This window comes from Homo sapiens, chromosome 7 (genome assembly GCF_000001405.40).
Source record: "Homo sapiens chromosome 7, GRCh38.p14 Primary Assembly".
Classification (NCBI taxonomy): domain Eukaryota; kingdom Metazoa; phylum Chordata; class Mammalia; order Primates; family Hominidae; genus Homo; species Homo sapiens.
In genome coordinates this window covers 156,763,404-156,776,592 of record NC_000007.14, presented here as the reverse complement: position 1 = coordinate 156,776,592, position 13,189 = coordinate 156,763,404, and the positions used below count along the sequence as shown (strand labels likewise).

The 13,189-nt window shown below is 39.5% G+C and overlaps 1 protein-coding gene across 28 annotated transcripts in view, besides 2 other annotated features; it reads left to right on the top strand.

Annotated features, from left to right (window-relative positions):
- The window catches only part of LMBR1 (limb development membrane protein 1), a 224,172-nt gene that overhangs the window by 116,591 nt on the left and 94,392 nt on the right, over positions 1-13,189 (top strand). For all 28 annotated transcript variants that reach the window (XR_007060137.1, XR_007060136.1, XR_007060135.1 and 25 more), the window contains one exon: positions 12,798-12,924. Coding sequence is in view for 18 of the 28 variants with exons in the window: in NM_001363412.2 (NP_001350341.1) it covers positions 12,798-12,924 (127 nt within the window). In the remaining 10 variants the exon portion in view is untranslated. The remainder of the gene's footprint in view (positions 1-12,797; positions 12,925-13,189) is intronic.
- Positions 8,436-11,415: an enhancer, noted in NCBI's record as "human sZRS fragment used in the reporter transgene". NCBI's record gives its function as "activates a minimal gata2 promoter in the ZPA domain of developing fins in transgenic zebrafish" and the evidence as "EXISTENCE:transgenic organism evidence [ECO:0001131][PMID:29556077]".
- Positions 11,180-11,382: a silencer, noted in NCBI's record as "fragment chr7:156557905-156558107 (GRCh37/hg19 assembly coordinates)". NCBI's record gives its function as "represses an EF-1alpha promoter that drives an FKBP-Casp9 reporter gene in an ReSE screen in HepG2 liver carcinoma cells {active_cell/tissue: HepG2}" and the evidence as "EXISTENCE:reporter gene assay evidence [ECO:0000049][PMID:32094911]".

The window sequence follows — 13,189 nt, the reverse complement described above, 5'->3', positions numbered from 1 at the left end:
GGCTAGGGCACTGAGGGGACAAGAAAAGACAGGAAATTGTGGACTAAGAGGGCAGTTTCAAAGTTGGAGTTCTTAGAGGTGATCCTGAGAGATGGTGGAATAGGATCAATGCATGTGTGGGTGGCTACTGTAGAATGGGAATGAATCTCACTGGAATTGAGGTGATGAGCTAGGATGTTACTTACGAGGGCAGGGGATGTGATAAGAAGTACTTGTGAACCAGGTGCTCATATCATGGAGAAAGATGGGACTGCTTCTTATAGGTTTGTAGATGGTCGGGAACAAAGTTGGGAAGAGAGTGATAGGATGGCATTAGAAGGTGGCATACATTTAATTTAGAAACACAAATGATATGTGAACTCCCAAGCCTTGGAAATTTCAGAGACAAAGGTAATAGTTTGAGTCATTATAGTGAACCATTACATTGTGTTTACTAAGAACCAGATATTGTCCTAAGCATATATATATATAAAATATATATAATTTACATATATAAAAATGTATAAAATATGTATAATTTACATATATAATATATATAACTCATATATATATAATACTCATTCGATCTTTATAACAACCCTATAAGGTAGGGGTGCTATTCATATCCTCATTTCACATGGGAGGAAACTGAGGCACAGCAAAGCTTAGTAATTCGCCCAAGGTTATACAGTAGTGGAAACAGGATTTGGACCCAAGCAATTTACTTCTGGCATTGGGGCTCTTAACCAGCCTAGTATGTCTCATAAACTGAAATCAGATCTATTTTTTAAAAGCTTTTTTGGGTTCCAGTCTCTTGGAAGTTACTTCTTAAGAAAAAATTAAAAATTAAAAAGAACATTAGTTGGTACTCTTACTACATAAGTCATACACACCCACTCTAAAAAATTCAGAAAAAAACAGAAAAGCATAAAGTATAATGGAAGAATTATTCCCTATAATTGTAGTTCTAGAGATAAGACTGTTAATTATCCATGTTCACATATTTTTTCTAAATGTATTTTTAAAAATAGGTCATACTGTTTATGCAGTGAGGTTATATTATGAACATTCACCATGATTTAAGATATAATGTCTTACGCTATGGAAGTATAATAATTCATTCATCTGTTTTTTTACAATTAGAGGTGGAGGTTGTTTAGTTTGTCAATGTATGTGTGCATGTGTGATCTTTTAAAATATTTGGTAAAATTATTTAGGAAGATCTTCATTTTTTATTTTTATTTTTGAGACATAGTCTCACTTCGTCGCCCAGGCTGGATTGCAGTGGCTTGACCTCGGCTCACTGCAACCTCCTCCTCCCAGGTTCAAGTGATTCTCCTGCCTCGGCCTCCTGAGTAGCTGGGATTACAGGCGTGTGCCACCACACCCAGCTAATTTTTGAATTTTCCGTAGAGATGGGGTTTCTCCATGTTGGCCAGGCTGGTCTTGAACTACTGACCTCAAGTGATCTGCCCACCCGGGCTTCCCAGAGTGCTGGGATTACAGGCGTGAGCCACCGTGCTTGTCTTCGTCACCCAGGTTGTAAGCATAGTACCTGATAGATAGGTAGATCCTTCCCCTTGTCCCACCGTCCACCTTCAAGTAGGCCCCAGTGTCTGTTGTTCCCTTCTTTTCGTCCATGTATACTCAATGTTTAGCTCCCACTTACAGGGGAGAACATGCACTGTTTGGATTTCTATCCCTGCATTAGTTCGCTTAGGACAATGGCCTCCAGCTCCATCCATGTTGCTGCAAAAGACATGATCTCATTCCTTTTTTTTGAGATGGAGTCTCGCTCTTGTCACCCAGGCTGGAATGCAGTGGCACAATCTTGGCTCACTGCAACCTTCACCTCCCAGGTTCAAGTGATTCTCCTGCCTCAGCCTCCTGAGTAGCTGGGACTACAGGTGCCCGCCACCACGCCCGGCTAATTTGTGTATTTTTAGTAGAGATGAGGTTTCACCATGTTAGCCAGGTTGGTCTTGAACTCCTGACCTCAGATGATCTGCCCACCTCAGCCTCCCAAAGTGCTGGGATTACAGGTGTGAGCTGTCTCACCCGGCTGATCTCATTTGTTTTTATTGCTGCATAGTATTCCATGGTGTATATGTACCACATTTTCTTCATTCAGTCTGCCCTTGATGAGCATATAGGTTATTCCATGCCTTTGCTATTGTGAATAGTGCTGCAGTGAACATATGAGTGCATATATCTTTATGTTAGAATCATTTATATTCCTTTGAGTATATACCCAATAATGGGATTGCTGGATTAAATGGTAGTTCTGTTTTAAGTTCTTTGAGAAGTCGCCACACTGCTTTCCACATGGCTGAACTAATTTATATTCCCACCAGCAGTACATGAGGATTCCCTTTTCTCTGCAACCTCACCAGCATCTGTTGTTTTTTTGACTTTTTAATAATAGCCATTCTGACTGGTATGAGGTGGTGTGTCATTGTGGTTTTTATTTGCATTTCTGTAATGATTAGTGTTGTTGCATTTTTTTCATGTGCTTCTTGGCCACATGTATTTCTTTTTTTGAAAAGTGTCTCTTCCTATTCTTTGCCCACTTTTTAGTGTGGTTTTTTTTTTGCTTATTAATGTGTTTAAGTTCCTTATAGATTCTGGACATTAGACCTTTGTCAGATGCATAGTTTGCAAATATTGTCTCCCATTCTTTAGCTTGTTGTTTACTCTGTTGGTTTGTTTGTTTGTTTGCTTGTTTCTTGCTGTGCAGAAGCTGTTTAGTTTAATTAGGTCCCATTTGTCGATTTTTGTTTCTGTTTTAGTTACTTTTGGTGTCTTCATCCTGAAATCTTTGCCAGGGCCTCTGTTTAGAATGGTATTTCCTAGGTTTTTTTTCCAGGGTTTTTAACGGTTTTAGGTTTTACATTTAAGTCTTTAATCCATCTTGAATCGATTTTTGTATATGGTGTAAGGAAGGGATCCAGTTTCAGTCTTCTGCATATGGCTAGCTAGTTATCCCAGTACCATTTATTGAAGAGGGAATCCTTTCCCCTTTGCTTGTTTTTGTCGACTTTGTTGACGTTCAGATGGTTGTAGGTGTGTGGCTTTATTTCTGGGCCCTCTATTGATCTATGTGTTCCATTGATCTATGTGTCTGTTTTTATACCAGTACCATGCTCGTTTGGTTACTGTAGCCTTGTAGTATAGTTTGAAGTTGGGTAGTGTGACACCTCCAGCTTTGTTCTTCTTGCTTAGGATTGCTTTGACTATATGGGCTCTTTTGGTTCCATATGAATTTTAGAGTAGTTTTTTTTAATTCTGTGAAGAATGTCATTGGTAGTTTGATAGGAATAGCATTGAATCTGTAAATTGCTTTGGGCAGTATGGCCATTTTAGCAATGATTCTTCCTATCCATGAACATGGAATGTTTTTGCATTTGTTTGTGTCATCTCTGATTTCCTTGAGCAGTGTTTTTTAATTCTTGTAGAGACCTTTCACCTCCCTGACTAGCTGTATTTCTAGGTTTTTATTTTATTTTATTTTATTTTGTTTCATTTTTTTGTGGCCATTCTTGGATGTTATTGGTCTATAGAAGTGCTACTGATTTTTGTACATGGATTTTATATCCTGAAACTTTGCTGGCATTGCTTATTAGATCCAGCAGCTTTTGAGCAGACACTATGGGATTTTCTAGATATGAAATTATATCATCTGCAAACAGAGATAATTTGACTTCCTCTTCCTATATGAATGCCTCTCCTCTCCCCTCCCTTCCCCTCCCCTCCCCTCCTCTCCTCTCTTCTCTTTTCGTTTTTTGTCGTCCAGGCCGAAGTGCAGTGGCACAATCTCGGCTTGCTGCAACCTCTGCCTCCCGGGTTCAAGCTATTCTCCTGCCTCAGTCTCCCTAGTAGTTGGGACTACAGGTGCCTGCCACCACGCCCAGCTAATTTTTTTATTTTTAGTAGATGCAGGATTTCACTGTGTTGGTCAGGCTGGTCTCAAATGCCTGACCTCAGGTGATCCACCCAGCTCGGCCTCCCAAAGTGTTGGGATTACAGGTGCGAGCCACCACACCCAGCCTTTTATTTCTTTCTCTTGCCAGATTGCTCTGGCCAGGACTTCCCAGTAATATGCTGAATAGGAGTGGTGAGAATGGGCATCCTTGTCTTGTTACGGTTCTCAAGGGGCTATGCTTCCAGCTTTTGCCTGTTCCATATGATGTTGGCTGTGGGTTTGTCAAAGATGGCTCTTATTATTTTCACATATGTTCCTTCAAAGCCTAGTTTGTTGAGAGTTTTTAACATGAAGGGATGTTGAATTTTATAGAAAGCTTTTTCTGCATCCGTTGAGATGATCATGTGGTTTTCTTTTTGAGATGGAGTCTCGCTCTGTCACCCAGGCTGGAGTGCAGTGGTACGATCTTGGCTCACTGCAACCTCTGCCTCCCAGGTTCAAGTGATTCTCCTGCCTCAGCCTTCTGAGTAGCTGGGATTACAGGCTTGCGCTACCATGCCTGGCTAATTTTTGTATTTTTAGTAGAGACGGGGTTTCACCATGTTGGTCAGGCTGGTCTTGAACCCCTGACCTCATGATCCACCTGCCTCAGCCTCCCAAAGTGCTGGGATTACAGACATGAGCCACCACGCCTGGCTGATCATGTGGTTTTTGTTTTTAGTTTTGTTTATTTGATGAATCACATTTATTGATTTGAGTGTGTTGAACCAACCTTCCATCCCAGGGATAAAGCCTACTTGATCATGGTGGATTAGCTTTTTGATGTGCTGCTGGATTTGGTTTGCTAGTATTTTGTTGAGGATTTTGCATCTGTGTTTATCAAGAATATTGGTGTGAAGTTTTCTTTTTCTTTTTGTGTCTTAGCCAGGTTTTGGTATCAGAATGATGCTGGCCTCATAGAATGAGTTAGGGAGGTGTCCTTTATTTTTAAATTTTTGGAATAGTTTCAGTAGGAATGGTACCAGCTGTTCTTTAAATATTTGATAGGATTCGGTCATGAATTTATCTGATCCTGAGCGTTTTCTAGTCAGTTGGCTTTTTATTACAGACTCGGTTTCAGAACTCATTATTCATCTGTTCAGGGTTTGAATTTCTTCCTGGTTCAGTCTTGGGAGGCTGTATGTTTCCCGGAATGTTTGTATGTTTATCCATTTCTGCTAAGTTTTCTAGTTTGTATGCATGAAAGTGTTCATAATAGTCCCTGATGGTTTTTTGTATTTCTGTGGGGTCAGTGGTAATGCCGTCTTTGTCACTTCTGATTGTGATTATTTGGATCTTCTTTTTATCTTTATTAGTCTAGCTAGCAGTCTATCTACCTTATTTTTTCTTTCAAAGAATCAACTCCTGGTTTCATTGATCTTTCATATGGTTTTTCGTGTCTCTATTTCATTCAGAACAGCTCTGATTTTGGTTATTTCTTGTCTTCTGGTAGCTTTGGGGTTGGTTTGCTCTTGTTTTTCTAGTTCCTCAAGTCGTTTGTTTTCCCATTTATTGACAGTTATACTTGGTATTCTTTTTAAAATCTTATGTCTTGATTACATTTTTTTCATATTTCTAATGTGTTTTTGCTACTTTATTTTGTTGATTTTTCTAGCCAGACATTTATCAGAATTCTTTTGAATTCTGAATTCTTCGATTTATTTTTTCCTACTTTTTTGCTCTTTTTTATTATACTTACTTTAATTTCCTGTTGTATTTTGTTTTATTTATTTGTTTCTGAGACAGGATTTCACTCTGTTGCCCAGGTTAGAGTGCACTAGCGCGATCATAGCTCACTGTAACCTCAAACTCCTGGGCTCAAGTGATCTTCCCACTTCAGCCTCCCAAGTAGCTGGGACTACAGGTGTGTGCTTCCATGCCCATCTCATTTTAAAATTTTTGTTAGAGATAAGGTCTTGCTATGTTGCCCAGGCTGGTCTTGAACTTCTGGGCTCAAATGATCCTCCTGCCTCCCCCTTTAAAAGTACTAGGATTACAAGCATGAGCCATCGTGCCTGGCCTATTTCTTCCTGTATTGTGGTTTGCTAGGATTTATTTTGTTGTTCCTTTTACAAATTCTTGAGTTGAGTGCTTCATTTTTATTTTTATTTTTTCTTTCATAATAAAACTCATTTATTTGAGCATCTGAATACAGATTTTCTACACTTTATGTTTTTATAAAGTATTCTTGTTTTGTTACTTTTTAGTTGGCCTATGATTGCATTAGTGTATTTTAATTTAAGCTTTGTTGTTAATTTTTTGCATTCAGATATTTTGACTTATTCTCTGTTGTTAATGCAGTAGTTCTGATGCAGTTTAGAACTTGATATATTTTGTTGGGCAGGGTGGTGCGCACTTGTAATCCCAGCTACTCAGGGGGCTGAGATGGGAGGATCACTTGAGCCTAGGAGTTAGAGACCAGCCTGGGAAACATAGTGAGATCTCATCTTAAAAAAAAAGATAGACATACTTTTTGTAGTTTAATTTCAAATTCATTTTTGTAAATTTTCCTTTAGTGATTGAAATAGAGGTATATTCCCTATAAGGGATTACTTTAGGTTTATTAAGTCAACCTTGTTATTATTTTTCAGATTCTGTGTATCATTGTTAATATTTTTTCATTCTTGGGCAGTCACAGACTGATAGAGTGGTGTGTCAGGAGAGGCGGTCTGCATGGGCCGTAAGCATTCCTGCGTTTTCTTTCTGGGTGTGCCAAGACTGTGAGGTCTTGACTGCTCTTTACCTGGGCCATTTGTTAGGGTTGTGTTTCTTCTGAGCAAACTTGAGGGATGAAGTGATGGCTCCCTCTGGGCCACAGAGCAGCCTGGCTTATTACCACGTGCTGTGAAAACAGTGGATTCCCCACGCTCACTGTTCTTTAGCTGCTGCACAGATCTGTCGCATATGCAACATCCATCCATAAGACTTGGGAGCAGGGGAAATGACCTGCTGGCACTCATGCCTCTTGCTGTACCGGAGTAATAAAATCCTTTGCTTCTGATCCAGGAGTCTTGTGTCTCCTGCCAGCATCCATGTAACAGCAACAGGCTAACTTATTAATTTGTAAGGATAGAACCAGACCCCAGACCTGACAGTTTTGGCAATGAGATTGGATGGTGCAGAGAAAGAACAAGGACCTTGTATTCCAGGTTTAGTGATATGAAAAGACCTTCAGATCTGGTGGTGGATGTGCTCAACTCAGTGGTGAGAGGGAGGCGGAGGAGGAAGGGCCCCTGGTAATTACATTACTCCTACCTGTAATGAGTCTGAATGGTGCTTTGGCTGTCGTTCATTCCTCTCCTGTTGTAAGACGAAGGAATGTTGGTATGACACCAGGGCAGTAAGCCCCCAGCTCCAGTCAGAAGGCATTATGGGTGTGGCTGCTGAGTCAAGGAGTCTCAGTCCTGAAATGAGTGGTGCCTCAGCTTCCTGAAGCACTGGGATTACAGGTGTGAGCTACTGAGCCTGGCATCAGGTGACTTTTTGAGTAGGGTGTTTGGGCTTATTCCATCTGTGATGTAGCTTGCACTGCTGACTCTATATTAAATTGGTATTCGTGTTTTACATGATCATACTATGCAAGCTTGGCCTCAGGGACTGTGCCTTCCCTTTGGCCCAATATAAACAGTATAGGGCCCCAGGAGGAGAAGCGAATATCTCAGCTTTTGTGAGAGACTTAATAGCTCACAAATACTCCAGGAGGCCATTTCCTAAAATAGCAGGTGCCTCTCCTGCCTGCCACTGCCTCCGAGTGGACTCCTGAGAAAGGACAGCTGTGAATCTGCTGCTCAGCTCTTGTTGAAATGGATTACCCAACCTGTGGGGCCATGTGACTCTCTAGCCTGGCATCCCTCTTCTGGGGTGGAACAATTTAGATTCCATGTCCAGTAAAATGGAAGAAGCTTAACAGGCCTCCTAGCCAAATAAAAATGGTCTCTTCCAGAGCTCAACCTGCCTGGCGCTACCTGGTATCAAGGTTTCATGTGAAAAAGTGGCAGATACCTCCTGGGGGAAACCCTATTTCCTAATCCACTGCTGAAGCCAAACCACCCAGTTAGGCCCTCAATCCCCTGAGCCCTCCTAATGTCGAGGCTGGGCTCTCTGACCTTTGGCTGCATCAGAAGCTGATGGTATTCACTGAGTGGTGGCAGCCCATCACAATGGAGGCATACTTAGGAATTTTTTATTTTTAAAATTCTAAATGAATTTCTTATCAAATTTGCATAAACATGCTAAATATAATGAATAAAGGTTTTCTGTTGTATTTATTTATTTACTTTTTTGTTTTTTTTTGAGACCGAGTCACTCTGTTGCCCAGGCTAGAGTGTAGTGGTGCAGTCTTGGCTCACTGCAACGCAACCTCCGCCTCCCAGGTTCAAGCGATTCTCCTGCCTCAGCCTCCCAAGTAGCTGGGATTACAGCTAATCTTTGTGTTTTTAGTAGAGACGGGCTTTCACCATGCTGGTCTTGAACTCCTGACCTCAAGGGATCCATCCCCCTTGGCCTCCTAAAGTGCTGGGATTACAGGTGTGAGCCACTGTGCCCAGCCTCGTTTTCTGTTTATTTAAATATTGTATAAAGAATAATAACAATGAAGCGCTATGTACTCACCAGTTAATCTAAAGAAATAGAACATAATAATATAGTGGATAGTAAATTTCTTCAATATGAAATGTCCTACTTTATCCCATTTAATGTTTTTTGTTTTGCATTCTTCTGTATTTAAACCAGACTCCTGTACATTTTTAAAAAATTAAACAATAATTTTTAATCATTTTCACTTTTTTTAGTATCACTTTCGTTTTGATAGGTCTTAGACAGTTAATTGTGTTTTTTGACCTAATTTGCATATATAGTTATAGTAGATATATTTGGTTTTTATCATTTCCTGTTTTCGTATTTTATATATTTTGTTATGTTTATATTTTGCTAAACTTGATTTTCTGTTTTTTACTATATTAACTATTACATTTTTGTTCTGTTTTCTAGTATCTTAGTAATATTACTTTTGATACTAGTTACTATTACTGTTACTAGTTTTATTATTTTGATACTAGTAAGATTAGTGGTAACCTTAAGTTTTTAGTAGCATTATTTAACTTTAATTTCTCTGCTGTCAGTAAAAAGTGAAATATTATCGTTTTAAATGACCCCTATTTAAAATGGAATTTTTTCTTTAACTCTTTTTTTCTCATCTGAATGTCACTTCTTAATGTATAAGATAATAAAAAATTATTAAATGATTTATCTTTCAAAAATATTTTTTGGCATTGCATTTTAGTTTATAACTATATATATCGTTATTTATATTTCTCTTTATTTAGAAAAAATTTGTCATTGTTCACCAACAATTCCGTGCAGTCACTTCACAGTCCTTTGTGAAGGACCAGGTAGGATGGTGACGTGGGCTCCTGTACTCAGCAGAGCCGTGAGTTTGAGTCCGTCTGCTTCCTAAAGTTCCCCTGCATGCTCAGGGGGGTCTGTACGGCTTTTACACCCCTGAAGGACAGGGAGACCCCCACTTTACCCCATCATCTTTTTTCCTAAGCATCTGAGGTCAGAATTGGGGGAGGACAGTTGAATGAGCATGGCAAAAGCGACTGGCCCACACCGTTAAGCAAGGCGCGTTTCATTTTGAGTGGCTAGTGGCTACTCATGGCTCAACCAAATTTGTAATGACATCAGTTTAGGCATTGGTCTACAGCCTCATTCCTGACGCTGTTTATTCAGCTTTGGGACTCCTTGAAATAGCAGCTGTACCCACAGGACCTTTTACCTGGTGTTGCATGGCTCACAGTTCACACCATCATGATGACATTCCTTCATGCTTCCGCTCAGAGGAGAGGGAGTGACAACCTAGCCAGCAGTGGGCTCAGCCTCACTGCTTACCTCAGCCTGCAGACTGTCACCAGCAGCTAGGACTGCTTGGGGTCCCTGCTCCTCCTGCTTGCCCACCACTTGGGTGAGCACACTCACTGCTATTAATAGATCCCAGGAGTCTTCTCATATCCCTTAAGCCAATCTGCATGGGCCCCTCCTCTTTCTTTTCCAGAAAGCCATCTATTAGTCCCCTATCCTTGTTGCCAAAAACCGTCAAGAACTGTGAAAAGTCTGAGATTTTATTCTGCTTGCAAACTAACAAGTTAGTCTCCGAGTTTCATGGATGCTAGTTGTAAACCTGAGATGTCTGGGTCAGAGACAAAGGACTTGGTTATGCACAGCACATAACCGAGTGCACAAGCTTCCTTTTGGTGCCAGTTGCCCTTGAACCCAAGCCCCACAGTGGGCCTGTATCACAGCTGGGGAACCCACCATATTTATATCGGGCTGCAAGCAACCCTGTCTAACCTTTGCTTGGAGGTGAACATTGTGCTACCAGACAGTAAACAAACCTCTCCTTTGCTTCAGAGATACACTATCTCTAAATCCCAAGGCCATCTGCTGTACGACCTTAAGAAGACAGTTCCAAATAAGGTCTGTCCCTGCCTCTGCTTGTGAGATGTACAGAAATGTGAGAGCGCCGTGGAGATTGTCTCCCAGCACCCAGGCACATACCTGAAGAAAACAAGTTTAATTACTAAGAAATAGTTCTTACCAGAATATCAAAGGAAGTCTAAATTTTATGGTGATTGATTTCCCAACACTGATTATCATCCTAAAAATTATTGTTACAGTGTTATAATTATTTAACATTACAATGACAACTTCTTTTGGACAGTGGGTTTTAAATGGTTCCAAGGAGCTGACACTGTGTAGTTCATATATTGTAACACTTCAGACACTATTAACACTGTTTAGCTCATGTATATTACAGGTATAATGCATGTGTTATTTGTTTTGGGAGCCCTACTCTTTAGTTCATATATTTCTTAGGGGCTGGTTGGAGGCAGGGAAAGACAGGATTGAGAGAGTGTAACACAAACGCTAGAACAAATCTGCATAAACGTGCAAGATATAATTTTATCTCCTTTTGTCTGTTTATTGATAGACTTTCCATAAAATATTTAGTGTGTAATAAAAAGGATTTTAGAAAGAGAGAAAAGGAGGGGAGGAGGAAGAAAGGAAGAGAGAAGTCATTGTTAAAGGTGGTAGATTATGTTTTGGTATCTGTATTAGTCTGTTTTCTGTCTCACACTGCTATGAAGAAATACCTGAGACTGGGTAATTTATAAAGTAAAGAGGTTTAATTCACTCTCAGTTCCACATGGCTTGGGGTGCCTCAGGAAACTTACAATCATGGCAGAAGGCACCTCTTCACAGGGTGGCAGGAGAGAGAATGAGTGCCAGCGGGGGACATGCCAGACGCTTATAAAACCATCAGATCTCATGAGAACTCACTCAATATCATGAGAACAGCATGGGGGAAACCACCCCTATGATTCAGTTACCTCCCACTGGGTCCTTCCCACGACACATGGGGATTATGGGAATTACAATTCGAGATGAGATTTGGGTGGGGACACAGGCAAACCATATCAGCATCTTAAATAGTTTGAAAGTTGTGAAGTGGAAGTTCAAAGGACTCTTCAGTAAAGTAGTAGTGTGTTTTGTGACTATTCACATTTCATCTCCTGTGATTAATAGCTACTTACTATGAGATCTCATGTGTTAAAATACAAGCCTAATTCATTCTGGTTCACTGGCCTCCCATGCTATGAACACTTAAGGTGAGCTGACTCTCAGATTTGAGGAAGTGTTTTAAACTTGCCAAATGCAGCCTTGTGGTAAGTCTGCGATATTGTTGAAGGACTAGTAAGAAAAAGTCACTTCACCTCAGAGGTTATCATTTAGGGCTAGGTATACCTCTCCATGCTTTTAGGACGTTTTCTTTCCTTTCTATTGAATTTGAAGAACTGGGGTGCCGTGATTTTAATGCATCCTATTCCTGCAATTCAGAAACTAGAAAGTAATACTTAGGACAAAATTGAAATAAGTGTATGTTTTGGAATTTTATAACTCATATTTTTATGTTAAATGTGGAATGAGATAACATAATTTATTGAGAAATATGGATGTATTTATAATTTTGTTGGTTGTGTTAGATAATTGTAGGTTAGTGCATTGCAGTACAAAATATCAATATGATGCTTTAACTTATAGGTGCAGATTCAATCATTGGGTGATTTTTTGGGGAGTAAAAGCGGTTTCTTTTTTTGTCTTATCCTGCAGTTTTTAAGTTTTAAAAGTCTGGCCTTTAGTTTGGTCCTGAAGTCAGAATTTGTTTTACATTTAAAACAAAGTTGTGCATAATGATTATATTATTATATTCTTGTCTCATGGATTAATGAAAATTCTATATAATGTGAAGAAAAGCATCATATAGAACTGATAAAAGCAGTATCTCTATAGTTTATAATGCTGGATTACAATGGACAGTTCTTCAGCGGCACAGTAGAGGGCTCCGGAGGCTGTGAGGAGCACCAGAGTCCATGCTAGAGAGAGCCGGCGCTCTCCAGCAGCTCGGAGCATTGTGGCGCACCAAGTTCAGTGCTCACTGAACTGTTTGGCTCTGTGCCATAATTAGCCTTCTATTCCCTTGATTAGAATCACGGATAGAAATTCATTAATCTGCTTTGTTAGTGGAAAGTGTTAGGAAAGTAATTGTTAAAAATGGCTCTGCAGATGTTTTTTATGAAGAATTTTTTTTGTGTTTTATCCAAGCTTAATAATATTTTCCATAATTTGAAAAGTCAGTCTAAACATTGTAAACCATAAGTACCTAGTGTTTTTTTCCTTTTAATAAATATAAATTTCCTCTCCTTCCAAGGGATTATTTTATGCTTTCATATAGGCAGAAACCTTATTGTTCATGAAATGAAGTAAAATACTAAAATTATATTTCTACTCTATTTTTCAGGGAATCCGAGCCCGCATTTTAGAGACTTTGGTCATGCTTCTTCTTCTTGCGTTACTCATTCTTGGGATAGTGTGGGTAGCTTCAGCACTCATTGACAACGATGCCGCAAGCATGGAATCTTTATATGGTATGGATTTCCTTGTTTTAACCAGTTTCCTTACTGGAAACTGTAGTTTGGGATATAATTACACACTCAATTTTAAAAACATTTAAATCTTTGTGTAGTTAACAAAGATGTTTGATGTTAATTTACAGAATTAAGAAATCTTTAGATATTTTTATCTAAAAATGAAGTTTTATTTATTTTATATGTGAAGAACAAGTAAGCAGCTTTTCAGATTTTTTTTTTTTGTTTTTGTTAATTGGTTTCTGTTCTTCAAATTCCGTGGAGA